The sequence below is a fragment of the Homo sapiens genome, chromosome 5 (assembly GCF_000001405.40).
Source record: "Homo sapiens chromosome 5, GRCh38.p14 Primary Assembly".
NCBI lineage: Eukaryota > Metazoa > Chordata > Mammalia > Primates > Hominidae > Homo > Homo sapiens.
In genome coordinates this window covers 71,589,498-71,607,776 of record NC_000005.10, presented here as the reverse complement: position 1 = coordinate 71,607,776, position 18,279 = coordinate 71,589,498, and the positions used below count along the sequence as shown (strand labels likewise).

Below are 18,279 nucleotides of genomic sequence, written 5' to 3'. Positions count from 1 at the left end.
ACACAACATACCAGAATCTCTGGGACGCATTCAAACAGTGTGTAGAGGGAAATTTATAGCACTAAATGCCCACAAGAGAAAGCAGGAAAGATCCAAAATTGACACCCTAACATCACAATTAAAAGAACTAGAAAAGCAAGAGCAAACACGTTCAAAAGCTAGCAGAAGGCAAGAAATAACTAAAATCAGAGCAGAACTGAAGGAAATAGAGACACAAAAAACCCTTCAAAAAATTAATGAATCCAGGAGCTGGTTTTTTGAAAGGATCAACAAAATTGATAGACCGCTAGCAAGACTAATAAAGAAAAAAAGAGAGAAGAATCAAATAGACGCAATAAAAAATGATAAAGGGGATATCACCACCGATCCCACAGAAATACAAACTACCATCAGAGAATACTACAAACACCTCTACGCAAATAAACTAGAAAATCTAGAAGAAATGGATAAATTCCTCGACACACAAACTCTCCCAAGACTAAACCAGGAAGAAGTTGAATCTCTGAATAGACCAATAACAGGAGCTGAAATTGTGGCAATAATCAATAGTTTACCAACCAAAAAGAGTCCAGGACCAGATGGATTCACAGCCGAATTCTACCAGAGGTACAAGAAGGAACTGGTACCATTCCTTCTGAAACTATTCCAATCAGTAGAAAAAGAGGGAATCCTCCCTAACTCATTTTATGAGGCCAGCATCATTCTGATACCAAAGCCGGGCAGAGACACAACCAAAAAAGAGAATTTTAGACCAATATCCTTGATGAACATTGATGCAAAAATCCTCAATAAAATACTGGCAAAACGCATCCAGCAGCACATCAAAAAGCTTATCCACCATGATCAAGTGGGCTTCATCCCTGGGATGCAAGGCTGGTTCAATATATGCAAATCAGTAAATGTAATCCAGCATATAAACAGAGCCAAAGACAAAAACCACATGATTATCTCAATAGATGCAGAAAAAGCCTTTGACAAAATTCAACAACCCTTCATGCTAAAAACTCTCAATAAATTAGGTATTGATGGGACGTATTTCAAAATAATAAGAGCTATCTATGACAAACCCACAGCCAATATCATACTGAATGGGCAAAAACTGGAAGCATTCCCTTTGAAAACTGGCACAAGACAGGGATGCCCTCTCTCACCACTCCTATTCAACATAGTGTTGGAAGTTCTGGCCAGGGCAATTAGGCAGGAGAAGGAAATAAAGGGTATTCAATTAGGAAAAGAGGAAGTCAAATTGTCCCTGTTTGCAGACGACATGATTGTATATCTAGAAAACCCCATTGTCTCAGCCCAAAATCTCCTCAAGCTGATAAGCAACTTCAGCAAAGTCTCAGGATACAAAATCAATGTACAAAAATCACAAGCATTCTTAAATACCAACAACAGACAAACAGAGAGCCAAATCATGAGTGAACTCTCATTCACAATTGCTTCAAAGAGAATAAAATACCTAGGAATCCAACTTACAAGGGATGTGAAGGACCTCTTCAAGGAGAACTACAAACCACTGCTCAAGGAAATAAAAGAGGATACAAACAAATGGAAGAACATTCCATGCTCATGGGTAGGAAGAATCAATATCGTGAAAATGGCCATACTGCCCAAGGTAATTTACAGATTCAATGCCATCCCCATCAAGCTACCAAAGACTTTCTTCACAGAATTGGAAAAAACTACTTTAAAGTTCACATGGAACCAAAAAAGAGCCCACATCGCCAAGGCAATCCTAAGCCAAAAGAACAAAGCTGGAGGCATCACACTACCTGACTTCAAACTGTACTACAAGGCTACAGTAACCAAAACAGCATGGTATTGGTACCAAAACAGAGATATAGATCAATGGAACAGAACAGAGCCCTCAGAAATAACGCCGCATACCTACATCTTATCTTTGACAAACCTGAGAAAAACAAGCAATGGGGAAAGGATTCCCTATTTAATAAATGGTGTTGGGAAAACTGGCTAGCCATATGTAGAAAGCTGAAACTGGATCCCTTCCTTACACCTTATACAAAAATCAATTCAAGATGGATTAAAGACTTAAACATTAGACCAAAAACCATAAAAACCCTAGAAGAAAACCTAGGCATTACCATTCAGGACATAGGCATGGGCAAGGACTTCATGTCCGAAACACCAAAAGCAATGGCAACAAAAGCCAAAATTGACAAATGGGATCTAATTAAACTAAAGAGCTTCTGCACAGCAAAAGAAACTACCATCAGAGTGAACAGGCAACCTACAAAATGGGAGAAAATTTTCACAACCTACTCATCTGACAAAGGGCTAATATCCAGAATCTACAATGAACTCAAATTTACAAGAAAAAAACAAACAACCCCATCAAAAAGTGGGTGAAGGACATGAACAGACACTTCTCAGAAGAAGACATTTATGCAGCCAAAAAACACATGAAAAAATGCTCGTCATCACTGGCCATCAGAGAAATGCAAATCAAAACCACAATGAGATACCATCTCACACCAGTTAGAATGGCAATCATTAAAAAGTCAGGAAACAACAGGGGCTGGAGAGGATATGGAGAAATAGGAACACTTTTACACTGTTGGTGGGACTGTAAACTAGTTCAACCATTGTCGAAGTCAGTGTGGCGATTCCTCAGGGATCTAGAACTAGAAATACCATTTGACCTAGCCATCCCATTACTGGGTATATACCCAAAGGACTATAAATCATGCTGCTATAAAGACACATGCACACGTATGTTTATTGCGGCATTATTCACAATAGCAAAGACTTGGAACCAACCCAAATGTCCAAAAATGATAGACTGGATTAAGAAAATGTGGCACATATACACCATGGAATACTATGCAGCCATAAAAAATGATGAGTTCATGTCCTTTGTAGGGACATGGATGAAATTGGAAATCATCATTCTCAGTAAACTATCGCAAGAACAAAAAACCAAACACCGCATATTCTCACTCATAGGTGGGAATTGAACAATGAGATCACATGGACACAGGAAGGGGAATATCACACTCTGGGGACTGTGGTGGGGTGGGGGGAGCGGGGAGGGATAGCATTGGGAGATATACCTAATGCTAGATGACGATTTAGTGGGTGCAGCGCACCAGCATGGCACATGTGTACGTATGTAACTAACCTGCACAATGTGCACATGTACCCTAAAACCTAAAGTATAAAAAAAAAAAAAAGATTAGATTTTGTGTTAAATTCTGTTTTACTTTCAAGCCATCCCAGAGTACCTAATTCGTAAAGATACTTAAGAGTAAAAAGCACCACTGTACACTTTATTCATGAAAAATTACCTGTGCAATATTTTTAGAAGACATAATTGCCTGATTATAGAATGTACGGCCAAAGTGGTCTCGATCTGGAAACACATCTGCTTGTCGAGGTAAGTATGCTCCTCCCGAATCAACTGAAGACAAGAAATGAGAAACATAAGCATCTCTATGAACTAAATGTGCTACGCAGAGGGAAACTTGTATCAATGACAGCATCAGTTCTTAATCACATTCACAAAAAACTTGCCCTGTCTTTCTAAACTGTTATAGAGCCTCGTTCTCCAAACCCCCAATGCAGCCAAAAGGATTCATTGCCCCAAACCCATCAGGCTTTCCCACCTCTGTGCAAAATTCTTCTCGAAATGGTTAGAACCTTCTCTCCTTTGAGGACCAGCTAAAGCCCCAGAAACATCATAAATTCTTAAAGAGTTAAGGTGGAAAAGTATCTTTCCTTCTTCTAAACCAATACAAAAGCCATCCACAGAATTCATATAATAATTTATACATATTGCCTTCTGATACTGTTTTCATTGCAGATTGGAGTGGTGGGTACACAGGTCAGTTGCGTTCAAAGCAGAGCTCATGACTTCACAGCTGTGTGATTATAGGTGTGTTTCCTAGCCATCCTATGCCCCGGTTTCCTTACCCACGAAATGAAGATAAAAAAAGGAGCCATATCATATATTAGGATGACTTGAAAAATGTATAGAAAGCACTTAGTTCAGAATCTGCAACCATTAAGTCTTTTGTTGGTTGCACATTATATGCTGTGTCCAATTCATTATGAGCTCGCTGAAGACAGAGACAACAAAATCCTCCTCACTGTATCCCCTATAAAGACCAGCACAGCACCTACAAGCAGCTGGGCCTCATTTGCTGTTTTCTCTACGTGCAGAGCAGTTCGTATTGTGAGTTAATCAGGTAAATTCAACTTCACAGAAAAACACAAAACAAAAAATACCTCTACATCAGTACCCGTTCAAATACCTGCATACATGAACAACGTATGTTGGAATTTTATCAGACTAACCCAGTATCAGGAAAGGCCCATTTTTTTTTTTTTTTTTTTTTTTTGAGACAGTCTCTCTCTCTGTCGCCCAGGCTGGAGTACAGTGGCACGATTTCAGCTCACTGCAAGCTCCGCCTCCCAGGTTCACACCATTCTCCTGCCTCAGCCTCCCAAGTAGCTGGGACTACAGCTGCCTGCCACCACGCTCGGCTAATTTTTTGTATTTTTTTTTAGTAGAGACGAGGTTTCAGTGTGTTAGCCAGGATGGTCTCCATCTCCTGACCTCATGATCCGCCTGCCTCGGCCTCCCAAAGTGCTGGGATTACAGGCGTGAGCCACCGCGCCCGGAGGAAAGGCCCATTTTAAACTGCTTTGCTTTCAGGTTCTTTGATTTAAATGTGTTTTAATTTCAAATATAAGTTTACTTTCACTGGAAATTAAATTTACTTTAAATTACATCTGCTCAAATTATATAATACTTGCACATTTAACTCAGTACCTGGCACTCAAGAGATCTATAAATACTTGCTACTATTTTTTTCATAGTATGATCCATAAAGTTAAAAGAAAAACAGGATCTAGAGAACAAAAAAAAAAAACCACACAACACATAGAGAAAAAAACTGGCATGCGTCAAAATGTATGAGTATTATGCACTAGTACTATGAACAGTTCTTGTTTACTTTCCCCCAGAGTTTTCAGCAAAGAACCTGTGTTTCCTTTATAATTACAGGAGAAATCAACAGGTTTATAAAATACCCATCCCAAATGTAATACATACAGCCTTCCAAACTATCTTGCATTTTACCAGCTAATAATAGTTTATTTTACCACTCTGGTGACTTGCCTAAGTAGATGCAGGGGAGCCTGTTTTGCATGGCAATTTCTTGGGCCCGTAATTGTTTTTTCACAGTCACTGGGTAGTAGGCACCTCCTTTGACGGTGGCATCATTGGCAATAATCATGCATTCTACTCTGAAAGGCAGAAATTTCATTGGAGAGAGAATTTAAGAGATTTCTTCAAAACTAATTACACTCATTACAAGATACCCCAATACAACCTTCAACTTCTAGTACGTATCACTATTAACATCCATTAGCAGACAGCAGTCTTAGGATATAAATGCAAACTTTAATCACAGTTCACATATTAATTTATATAATACAAAACAATTACTTCTAACAAGTTTATAAACTCACACTTGGTTTTTGAAAAGTCATCAGTCCTAGATTAGTAATAAAAAACTAACAACCTAAGCCTTGTGTCATAATGGTTCTTTGAATGAAAAGGTCCTAATAAGATGAAAATAATAATGAAAAAAAAAATCCAAGTCTCAAGGGAAAAGAATTCCCTCATAATAAACCTTCAAAGTCTCCTTTTAGGAGGGTATTTTGCAAAAATGAAAACTGACCTTTAGTACTAAGATTTATTTTTTGTATTCTTGTTCTTCAACATTACAGCCCCATGGTTTTCTACAAAACTAAATGTAGTCTAAAATATAACGTTCATCTTAACTGAAGTCAGAATGAATGCAAACTTTAATATACTAAAAACACATGAAAGGTATCCTGAGTCATCAACAGTGCCCTTTCTCACCAAAACCAGTTTATTGGGTATGAGTCACAAAGAGCAGGGCGGCCAACAACCACAGCTGGTTGGGGAAACTGTACAGCACTGGCAGGAAACCTTAAGGTCAGAGGTACCCTTGAAATCTGAGATGACAACAGTGTGCTCTTTACAAAATTCAATTTTCTTTATGTTTCTGATGTTTGTGTTACCTCACTTTATGCTGCCTACAACTCTAAAGAGTGAGTCATTAAATCCCTGCTGAAAATAGAGAACGGCAACTGAACACCCAGCACAGGGTAGTGTTGAGCTTCTCATACTAGGATATGTGGCCAGCAGGGCTCGCCACAAGACAAACAGGACTCTTCTTTGAGCATCAATTTTATTCCCTAGGTCATATAAAACCTTTTTCTGCACTGCAATGAACATTTTATAGAGTAGAATGCAAACTTTTAATGATTTAACATTAAACGAACTAGACTTCAAAGGAAATGTAGGCTTCTCATAGGTTGCTGGGCCATAACCTCACACTCCAGAGTGTGTGCTCATACTTCCTACCACTGGGGGTGCTACGCTAGAAAGTTTAAGAAGCTCTGGTACTGGAAAGAGGCCAGGCTGTGAAGTCAGACAAAGTTAGACTGAAATTCTGGCTCTGCCAACTTGTTAGTTATGTGACCATGGACAAGGGACATAGCCATATCTGCTTGTCTATTAAAGGTCACAGACTTGTTACAGAATGAGAAATCAAATTGGCCCACAAAAATACTAGATTGCATTTCTATTGGTTTTGCCTACCCAGCATCTATTATTTTGGCAACAAAACTAAACCTTCTTTCAGAAACTGCCTCTTATCTTTAATCCAGGTGGCTCAAGTAGGACTGACCCCAGAGCCTGCCTTAAAGGGGGGCACAGGGACCAGGTCTTTCTACCCAGAGTTCCCACTGAGGCTCGGCAATGGGACAGGCTCTAAGCCTAAGCAGATCTTGCCTTCCACTGCAGCTGCTAAACTTATAGAATATAAACCAGGAACTGCCTATGACCATCACTGCCTCTGGATTTAGAGAGGCTGCCTAGAAACAAAGCTGACACACAGCAAGTCAGGGCCAGGAGTAGAAAACAGCCTGGGACCTAGTAATACCTAAGACCATTTGAGCTCCCAGATACAGCCATGCCCAGACTCACCAGATAAGAGAATCAATATATCCTCTTTTTTGCTTAATTTGAGCAAATTCAGCTCATCTGTCATTTGTCAGAGAAAGAGTAGTGATGATATAAACCATTCAACAATTTTTATGTAAGAAAGGTCAATTTGAATTATAATAAAGGCCAGAGCAATGGCTCATGCTTGTGATCCCAGCACTTTGGGAGGCCAAGGCAGGAAGATCATTTGATGCCAGGAGTTTGAGGCTACAGTAAGCTATGATCATGTCACTGCACTCCAGCCTGGGCAACAGAGTAAGACCCCAACTCAAAAAAAAAAAATTATAATGATGTGCTAGCCTATATTCAACATCGTTTGAGCCCAGAAGTTCGAGATTAGCCTAGGCAACAGAGCGAGACACCATCTCTAAAAAAAACAAAAAAGGAAAAAAGAAAGAATTTATAATTAAGTACTACTTTATACCTATTAAATGACTGAATTTTTTTCAGCCATAATATCCAGTACTAGAGCATCTCTAGTTAAAAGATAAAGACTGGTCTCCTTCCTTGCCCTTGTCTCCATGGAAAGACATCTTTTTGTTTTTTTTTTGAGACGGAGTCTTGCTCTGTCACCAGGATGGAGTGCAGTGGCTCCATCTCAGCTCACTGCAACTTCTGCCTCCCAGGTTCAAGCGATTCTCCTGCCTCAGCCTCCCAAGTAGCTGGGACTACAGGCGTGTGCCACCATGCCGGCTTATTTTTTTATTTTTAGTAGAGACAGGGTTTCACCACATTGGCCAGCCTGATCTCAAACTCCTGACCTCAGGTGATCCACCCACCTCAGCCTCCCAAAGTGCTGGGATTACAGGCGTGAGCCACCACACCCAGCCAGTCCTACATAATATAAATAGCATACAAATCGCATGCTAATATGCAAAGTGAGTGCTGGATGCCTGTGCCTCATCAAAGTCTTCTTCTCAACCCACATTATGAAGCACAAGTAGAATACTCACCCTGATACTCTTCCAATGCCTGTAATAATGCCACCTCCTGGCACCTCCTCATTGTCATATAACTGGTAACCTGCAAACTGGGATAATTCCAGAAATGGAGACCTAAAGCGAAGAAAGGATGTTGTTTGAATTAATGTCATTAAAAACTACACATTTAAACAGTTACACATGGAAAAGGAAAAGATTTTTCCTCAATGGGACAATATTTCAAATACACATGTTGTATATAAAATCTATTTTTAAAAATCTAAAATGGGTGTGGTGGCTCAAGTCTGTAATCCCAGTTATTCAGGAGGCTGAGACAAGAGGACTGTTTGAGCCCAAGAGTTGGAGGCCAGCCAGGACAACATAGTGAGACCCCATCTCTTTTTTGTTGTTGTTGTTGTTTTTTGAGATGGAGTCTTGCCCTGTCACCCAGGCTGGAGTGCAGTGGCGCGATCTCAGCTCACTGCAACCTCCACCTCCTGAGTTCAAGCGATTCTCCTGCCTCAGCCTCCCGAGTAACTGGGATTACAGGCATGCGCCACCACAACCAGCTAATTTTTTGTATTTTTAGTAGAGACGGGGTTTCACCATGTTGGCCAGGCTGGTCTCAAACTCCTTACCTGAAGGTTATCTGCCCACCTCGGCCTCACAAAGTGCTGGGATTACAGGCATGAGCCACCACGCCCAGCCAAGACCCCATCTCTTAAAAACTTTTGGAGGTAGGTGGGGTGGCTCATGCCTGTAGTCCTAGCACTTTGTGGGGCTCAAGTGGGTGGACTGCTTGAGCCCAGGAGTTTGAGGCCAGCCTGAGCAACACGGGGAAACCCCATCTTTACAAAAAAAAAAAAATTTTCAACACAGCTGGGCATGATGGCACATGCCTGTGGTCCCAGCTACTTGGGAGGCTGAGGTGGAAGAATCACTTGAGCCCAGGAGGCCAAGGCTGCAGAGAACTGTGACTGTGCCACTGCACTCCAGCCTGGGCAATGGAATGAGACCCTGTCTCAAAAAACAACTAATGGCCAGGCACGGTGGCTCATGCCTGTAATCTCAGCACTTTGGGAGGCTGAGACAGGTAGATCACGTGAGGTCAGGAGTTTGAGACCAGCCTGGATAACATGGTGAAACCCCATCTCTACTAAAAATACAAAAAAAAAAAAAAAAAAAAATTAGCCAGGCGTGGAGGCACGTGCCTGTAATCCCAGCTACTCGGGAGGCTGAGGCAGGAGAATCACCTGAATCCGGAAGGCAGAGGTTTCAGTGAGCTGAGATCATGCCACTGCACCCCAGCCTGGGCAACAGGGCAAAACTCCATCTCAAAAAATAAATAATTAATTAATTAATTAAAATAAAAATCCTTTCCAAATACCAGGCTCTCTTCTAAAGGCTTTAGAAACACTCACTTATCGGCTGGTGTGGTGGCTCATGCCTGTAATCCCGGCACTTTGGGAGGCCAAGGTGGGCAGATCACGAGGTCAAGAGATTGAGACCATCCTGGGCAACATGGTGAAACCCCGTCTCTACTAAAAATACAAAAATTAGCTGGGCATGGTGGTGCACACCTGTAATCCAGCTACTCGGGAGGCTGAGGCAGGAGAATCGCTTGAACCCAGGAGGCGGAGGTTAAGTGAACGGAGATCGCGCCACTGCACTCCAGCCTGGTGACAGAGTGAGACTCCGTCTCAAAAAAAAAAAAAAAAAAAAGAAACACTCACTCATGTCCTCCTTAGAACCACCTTCTGAGGTGGATCTTATTGTGACCCTCATTTACTGATGAGGAAACTGAAACACACAGAGATCAAGTCACTTGTCTAAGGTTACACAGTAAGTAAGGGGCAGAGCCGGGAGCTTCATAAGCAATCTTGCCCCAGGGGCCAGGCTCTTAACCACTAGTCCGCCTCTCACTTACTTACATGGTCAAGATACATTAGGAGGGAAAAAAGAGAGCTGGCTACAAAACAGCAAATTTAGTACGATTTCATTTGCATTTTTAAAAAATGTAGGTGTCTGGTATATATATATGCATACAAATGGCCTAGAAGGATAATATACTAGGTGTTAACAGTGCTGTCTCCAGGTTGGATGTGTGTGCACGTGTCAGGAGAAAAAATACTTTGGGAGTTTTCACTTACCCCTCTTCTCCCCCTTACACTCCATATCCAATCCTTCAGGAAATCCTGTTGGGTTGGCTCTGTCTTCACAATACATCCAGAACCCTGCACTCCTGCCACCACCACTACTACTACCCTATGCCGAGTCCCCATCATGTCTCCCTCAAATCCTTGCAATCGCCCTCTACCTGGTCACAGGGCTTCCACCCTTGCTGCTCCATCTACTCACAACACAGCAGCCAGAAGCACTCTTTTAAGCTATGTCAGATCATAATCATCTCCTGTTCAAAACCCTACAATAGCTCCCCATTTCTCCCATGGTGAAAACCAAAACCTTTATGATAACCCACAAGGCCATACAGGATCTGACCCATCTCCTACTCCTCTCCCCTCACTCCCTCCACCACAACCACCCCAGCCTCCTGGCTGCCCCTTGAGCATACCAGCATTACCTGGCACACTCCCACCTCAGGGCCTTTGCACTGGCCATTCCCTCTGCCTGAAACACTCTTTCCCCAGAGAGTTACAAGGCTCTCTCTCTCTCTCTCCTCCTTTAAATCTTTGCTCAGACATCACCTTCTCAATGCGGCCTACCTTGGCACCACCTCTTAAAACTGCAACTTGCCCTATATCTTCCTCTCCTTTACCCTGGGCCACCTTTTCTTTTTCTCATGACATTTGTCACTTACTAACACACTACAGAATTTACAATCTTTTTTTTTTTTGAGACAGAGTCTCGCTCTGTCACCCAGGCTGGAGTGCAGTGGCACAATCTCGTCTCACTGCAACCTCTGCCTCTGGGGTTCGAGCGACTCTCCTGCCTCAGCCTCCCGAGTAGCTGGGACTACAAGCACATGCCACCATGCCCAGCTAATTTTTTGTATTTTTAGTAGAGACGGGTTTTCACCATGTTAGCCAGATGGTCTCAATCTCCTGACTTCATGATCCGCCCACCTCGGCCTCCCAAAGTGCTGGGATTACAGGAGTGAGCCACCACACCCAGCCAGAAGTTACAGTCTTTACTGTTGCTTTCTGTCTCCCTTTGCTATGATGTAAACTCTAGTAGAGCAAAGATCTGTGTCTGTTTTGGTCACTGATATATCACTAGTACCTGACCAATAGTAGGCTCTCAATAAACATGTCAACACATAGTGCTTGACACATAGTAGGCTCTCAATAAACACATGTTCCTGAATCTTACGATGAGAACTAGAATTCAAAATAACTGATTTACAAGACTGTCTAATAAAGTACTATGGAACAGAGAACACTCTGAGTCAGTACTTGGCTATGTACGCACCCTGGGTCTATGAGATTGTCAATTCTTTCTCTGGGCAATAGTTTTCCTCTTGATATGTGAAGTGCTCGGGCTTTCTCACCACCTCCTATGATAGAAATGTGATTAGATTAGATTAGATTGACACGATAAAAAGGTCTCAATGCCAGAAAAACATAATACTTAATCCAAAATATAGCACTTTTTAAAAGTTCAACATATCCTCTGAGAAAAGGCTAATAATCATTCACTCAACTTACAAGTTGCCAATTTTCTGAAGTAAATGTAAAAACTGGTATTAAAAAAAAATCAATCTATCCCTGATTTTAGAGTATATCCTAGAGTCTATGTTCTGAATTCACTAGTAGTTACATAAATTACAGAGTATTTTCTCTGCAGCTCACATATTGCAAATAATGCCTCATCTCCACCACATTTATTAAATACATGCTATGATAGATCTGGAAAATTCCTATCTTCATTTGTACCAGGTAAAAATAAAATTTTAGAAATTACTTCCATGATAAGTGCAGTAAATTTACCTAAAGATGACATTAGTGATCCGTAACTTTTTAGGCTTGCAACTGGGTGAGTTGAACACTTTAGCAATTTAAAAGTCCCCTTCCTTGACTCAGAGATTGTCTTCAGTGCTTCTCAACATTGCTCACATCATGACAGACAAAGAAAATTATAACTGAAGAGCCCACTGGAGTATTCTTGGGAATATCTATAACCCACTCTCGGCAAACCAAGGTAATGGAGCAAGAACAGAAGTATCAAATTGTACCTTTAATAATTAAAACATTAGTTTATTTTTATTGGTGTCCAAGAATTTCATCTTAATATAGTCTTTGTCTAATGAAATGTTCAGCTATTTCAGAAAGCTATTTCTTTGTTTATTTAGGCAAGAAAATAATCTCAAACGATCTTCCAAGTAGGACCTTTTTTTTTTTTTTTTTTGAGACAAGATCTTACTCTGTCACCCAGGCTGGAGTGCAGTGGTGCCAGCATGGCTCACTACAGCCTTGAACTCCTAAATTCAAGTGATCCTCTCACCTCAGGCTTCCCAGCAGCTGGGACTACAGGCATGTGCCACCACTCCAGCTAAATTTTTGTGATGAGGTCTCACTCTGTTGCCCAGGCTGGTTTCAAACACCTGGCTTCATGCAATTCTCCTGCCTTGACCTCCCAAAGTGACAGGTGGGTCATGCCTGTAATCCCAGCACTTTGGGAGGCTGAGGTGGGTGGATCACTTGAGGCCAGGAGTTTGAGACCAGCCTGGACAACATGGTGAAACCCCATCTCTACTAAAAATATGAAAAATTAGCTGGGTGTGGTGGTGCATGCCTGTAGTCCCAGCTATTCGGGAGGCTGAGGCGGGAGAATCGCTTGAACCCGGGGGGCCAAGGTTGTAGTGAACTGAGATCGCGCCACTACACCCCAGCCTGAGTGACAGAGCAAGACTCCGTCTCAGTAAAAAAAAAAAAAAAGAGAGAGACTTAAGACAACATCACTCTTTAGCAATTCTGTCTAGAGTGGGGCCTTACAATTTGGAGCAGCTGGTGAATTCTGGTTTTATTAGGAAGAACCAGAAAGAGGGTTATCCTTGATGCAGGCTCACAGAGCACATAATTAAGCTCCCCTGACATTTAATTCTTGGCAAAGCTGTGACAGCCAAGTTTGTCCTTTCCCCCTTCTCCCTACCTCCTTCCCCAGGGAGTCCGGCTCAGTCCTCTACCCTCCTGTGGCCACCAGCCTGCACCACGGTTCCTCAGCATCCACCATCCCCAGCAGGCACCTGATGCCACAGGACTCCTCAACCCTCCATTGAGTCAAACCCACCTCTTTTTTTTTTTTTTTTGAGACGGAATTTCGCTCTGTTACCCAGGCTAGAGTGCAATGGCACCATCTTGGCTCACTGCAACCTCCGCCTCCCAGGTTCAAACAATTCTCCTGCCTCAGCCTCCCGAGTAGGTGGGATTACAAGCATGCGCCACCACACCCAGCTAATTTTGTATTTTTAGTAGAGACAGGGTTTCACCATGTTGCTCAGTCTGGTCTCGAACTCCTGACTTCATGTGATCCGCCCACCTCGGCCTCCCAAAGTGCTGGGATTACAGGCGTGAGCCACTGTGCCTGGCCCCAAAACCCACCATCTTAATGTCTAAGGGGGACAGTGAGTTCACCAAATCAAACTCTCAAAATGGGCATAACAATTGAGTTATCACCCCTAACAAAACACTTTCATTTCAGCAAGAGTTTGAATTCTTTTTCTGGAGACAACACCTTGATCTAAAATGGCTTCAAAAGTATGAATTCCATAGCTGCGTACAGGGGCACAGGTACAGTCTCAGCTACTTGGGAGGCTGAGGCAAGAAGATCACTTGAGCTCCCGACTTCGAGTCCAGCCCGAGCAACAGAGTGAGGAGACCCTGTCTCTAAATAAACTAGTAAATAAGCAATTCTAGACCATACTTTCCAAATCCAGTCTTCTTCACTATTTTTATACTCCTGAGATCCAGTATTTAAACTACTCTAACCTAAATGTAAAATTTTACATTAAAAGTATTATATACAATTTTAAGTATTATATACTTGTTGATAAAAGTTATCTGAAACAGTCTATCAAATATGAAGAATGCTTTCCATCTGAGATTCAGCACTTAGGGAGGAAATATTAAATGCCTACTAAGAAATCACTGGCCAGGTGTGGTGGCTCATACCTGTAATCCCAGCACTTTGGGAGGCCAAGATGAGAGGATCGCTTGAGCCAGGGGTTCAGTCCAGCCTGGCAATAGAGCAAGAACCCATCTCTTAAAAAAAAAATTAATAAAAATTAAAAATAAATTATTTATTCATAAAATTTATGAATTTGAATCTTTACTTTTCCCCCCAAAAGTGGTAGTACTCTATGAAGAGAAAAACTGGCCAAGTAATAGGAAAAATAAAATTAAATGCCTGCATACCAACAAATGCATAGTCTTAAGAGTCAAAAGCTCAGCCAGGAGTAGTGGCTCACGCCTATAATTGCAGCACTTTGGGAGGCCAAGGCAGATGGATCACTTGACATCAGTAGTTCAAGACCAGCCTGGCCAACATGGTGAAACCTTGTCTCTATTTAAAAAATACAAAAATTAGACAGGCATGGAGGCAGGCACCTGTAATCCCAACAACTTGGGAGGCTGAGGCAGGAGAATGGCTTGAACCCAGGAGGCGGAGGTTGCAGTGAGCTGAGATGGCGCCACTGCACTCCAGCCTGGGCAAGAGAGCAAGACTCCATCTCAAAAAAAAAAAAAAAATATCAAAAGCTTAATTCCAGTATTTTTCCTAAAAGCAATAACTATTTTAGGACATCTTAAGTAAAGGCATAAGCTGTGGAATAAATGCTGTGTTTACCTAGTTTTATATGCTCCACTCGTTCATGGAGCTGATTTACTAGTGCTTTCATCTGCTTGTAGTTCTCCTAAAACAGAAATAGAGGAGACAGGGGAGAGAAATATTAGAAAGCAATTCCTTTTTACCAAAATAAAGGTCAAAAAAAAAAAAAAAACAGTGGTCTGTGCCAACTCTGTGTGGCCGCCACACTGGGCCACCCCATCTGTGGCAGCCACGCTGGGCCACTGGATCGTATGGAAAAGATTCACCCCTGCCTGTCTTGTTCAAGCTCTTCTTCACCACCCCACTTGTCCATCTCTCCATATCTTACTCCTCTGTAAGCCTAATTCATGTTTTATCTCATCTTCAACTCTACTTCTGGCCACTCCTACTCAATTTAACATCTTTCTTCCTTAAACACCTTCTGAACTTAAACTGATCTCTATTTGTTTTCCTATTTTAAGGAATATAAGCTTTTTGAAGGTTAGAATACCATCTTATTTTTCCTGTCCCATCAGTCACTATCTGAGATTCCAACCAATGCTTGCTTACTGACAAAGTACACTTAAAAACAAATCCCAGAGGGAGAAAAAGGATCTTATTTTTATTTTTAATTTTGTATTTTTATTTTTTGGGACAGAGTCTCCCTTTGTTGCCCCGGCTGGAGTGCAATGGTGCAATCTCGGCTCACTGCAACCTCCGCCTCCCGAGATCAAGCGATTCTCCTGCCTCAGCCTCCTAAGTAGCTGGGACTACAGGTGTGTGCCACCATGCCCAGCTAATTATTGTATTTTTAATAGAGACCGGGTTTCGCCATGTTGGCCAGGCTGATCTCAAACTCCTTACCTCAAGTGATTTGCCCATCTCGGCCTCCCAAAGTGCTGGGATTACAGGCATGAGCCACCGCACCTGGCCAAGGATCCTATTTTATGTTTTAAAAAGAACAGGCTGAGTGTGGTGGCTTATGTCTGTTATCCCAGAGCTTTGGAAGGCGGAGGCAGGAGCATCGCTTAAGCCCAGGAGTTTGAGACCAGCCTGAGTAACATAGGGAGACTTCCATCTTTACAAAAAGAATAAAAATAAAAAGAATAAAAATTTAAAAATTATCTGGGCATGGTGGTGTGTCCCAGCGACTTGACCAACTAAGGTGGAAGGATCTCTTGAGCCCAGGAGTTTGAAGCTGCAGTGAACTAGGATCGTGCCATTGTACTCCAGCCTGGGTGACAGAGCAAGACTGTTTCAAATAAATAAATAAATTAGTAAAAAGAACAAAACTCGGCCAGCCGTGGTGGCTCACGCCTGTAATCTCAGCACTTTGGGAGGCCGAGGCGGGCAGATCACCTACGGTCGGGAGTTCGAGACCAGCCTGACCAACATGGAGAAAACTCGTCTCTACTAAAAAATACAAAATTAGCCAGGCAAGGTGGTGCTTGCCTGTAATCCCAGCTACTCGGGAGGCTGAGGCAGGAGAATCCCTCGAACCCGGGAGGCGGAGGTTGCAGTGAGCCAAGATTGCATCATTGCACTCCAGCCTGGGCAACAAGAGCAAAACTCCATCTCAAAAAAAAAAAAAAAAAAACAGAACAAAACTCTATGCTGGCATATATACACAAATTAAGTAATACACAAGGAAATATTGACAGTGAGAAGTAGAAAAGAGGTAGAGGGACTAACTTTTCACCCTTCTGTATTTTTAAATTTTGTTTGGTCAGCATATTACTTTAGAACAATACTTAACTAGCTAATTATCTTTGAAATTCAGACTTGGCCCACTAATACATTTTGCTCCCCATGTGATTAGCATCTCTAGTTATTTAGTTCCTTCTGTTTGACAGAACACTAAGCAACTTCCTAACTGTTCAAACTTAGATGAATATTCAGTCTACAGTATATCTCCATTATTTCCTATTTTCTACAGCTCCAAGAGCTCTGAGGGTCATGATTTCTGCTACATTCTCTTGCTCTGCAAAATCCAGAAAATAAAAAACAAGGAAGCAGCATGGTATTAGGGAAAGAACCAGTTGGAGCTAACACAATATACAGAACTTGTCACCCTACAACAGCAGAAAAAAGTATGTAACTTTTCTCAAGTGCACAGGCAACATTCTCCAAGATAGACTACATGTCAGGCCACAAAACAAATCTTAATAAATTTTAAAAGACTGAAATCATACAAAGTATCCTTTTTTTTTTTTTTGAGACGGAGTCTGGCCGTGTCGCCCAGGCTGGAGTGCAGTAGCACAGTCTCAGCTCACTGCAACCTCCGCCTCCCGGGTTCAAGCGACTCTCCTGCCTCACACTCCCAAGTAGCTGGGATTACAGGCGTGCGCCACCATGCCCAGGTAATTTTTTTATTTTTAGTGGAGACAGGGTTTCACCATGTTGGCCAGGCTGGTCTAGAACTCCTGACCTCAGGTGATCCACCAGCCTCGGCCTCCCAAAGCGCTAGGATTACAGGCCTGAGCCACCATGCCTGGCCCAAAAGTATCCTTTCAATCACAATGGAATGAAACTAGAAATCAATGGCAGAAGGATGACTGGAAAATTCACAAATATATGGAAATTAAACAACGTACTTTTAAGCAACCAGTGGGTCAAAGAAGAAAAGCACTGACCCACTGAAGCTGACATTTGCCTCTACAGACTGGGCAACATCTGTGCCAAGCTCAGCCCATCAGACTTAAATCACAGAAGAGCCAGTACTGGCTACAGTTCACCTCCCAGGCAATCCTTTATCAACCAACCTAGCCTCCTTAGGATGAGACTCACTAACCAAGAGGCAGTGTAGTTTAGTGGCAAAACCAAGTTCAACTTTCAGTTTCCCTACTTACTGATACTGCATTTGGCAAATCTTGATCTCTCAGGACGCCAGGTGTTTGTGTTTGTGTGTGTGTGTGTGTGTGTTTTAATCACCTGCGAAACAACATTCTACAACCTAGTAATTTTCTTGTGAAGCTGAGCAACCACAGAGGTTAGTGCCTGACAGTCATAATGAATTGGAGCTGAGCCACTGACAAGTTTCCCACCCCATCTTTTCAACCATAGAACCCACCTAGGTAGAGCTGGGTGAGTGAGAAGCATTATAGAGCAACAGTTAAGACCCTGGACTCAAGAGTTATGAGCCAGACCACCTGGCTTCAAATTCAGGCTCTGTGTTATCTCAGACAAATTTCTTGGACCCTATATACCACAGTTTTCCCATCTATAAAACAGAAATAACAATTGTACCTACTGCACAGGATCATTATGATAAATACATGAGTAAAACCACATAAAGCCTTTAGAAAAATGGTGGGTACACTATAAAATTCCTGCCATTATTATTACTTATTATAGTTGCTTTTATTTGTAATCAGGAAACACAGCTAAACTGGATCATTCATCCCATTCTCCCCCACCCTCATGGACTTGCTTTGTCTAATGTGAGCACACATTAATTTCATCACATGCCAGCAAGGATTTTAAATCCAATTTGTGTTCAGCCTCTTGCTCCTGTGCCTTCGGCCATGAGAAGGG

At 42.1% G+C, this 18,279-nt stretch overlaps 1 protein-coding gene across 7 annotated transcripts in view; it reads right to left on the bottom strand.

Moving 5' to 3' along the window:
• The window catches only part of MCCC2 (methylcrotonyl-CoA carboxylase subunit 2), a 71,367-nt gene that overhangs the window by 50,930 nt on the left and 2,158 nt on the right, over window positions 1–18,279 (bottom strand). For all 7 annotated transcript variants that reach the window (NM_022132.5, NM_001363147.1, XM_017009688.2 and 4 more), the window contains exons 2-6: window positions 14,785–14,851; window positions 11,413–11,497; window positions 8,017–8,118; window positions 5,144–5,271; window positions 3,309–3,421 (exon numbers count right to left, since the gene is read on the bottom strand). In NM_022132.5, the coding sequence (NP_071415.1) occupies window positions 3,309–3,421; window positions 5,144–5,271; window positions 8,017–8,118; window positions 11,413–11,497; window positions 14,785–14,851 (495 nt within the window). The remainder of the gene's footprint in view (window positions 1–3,308; window positions 3,422–5,143; window positions 5,272–8,016; window positions 8,119–11,412; window positions 11,498–14,784; window positions 14,852–18,279) is intronic.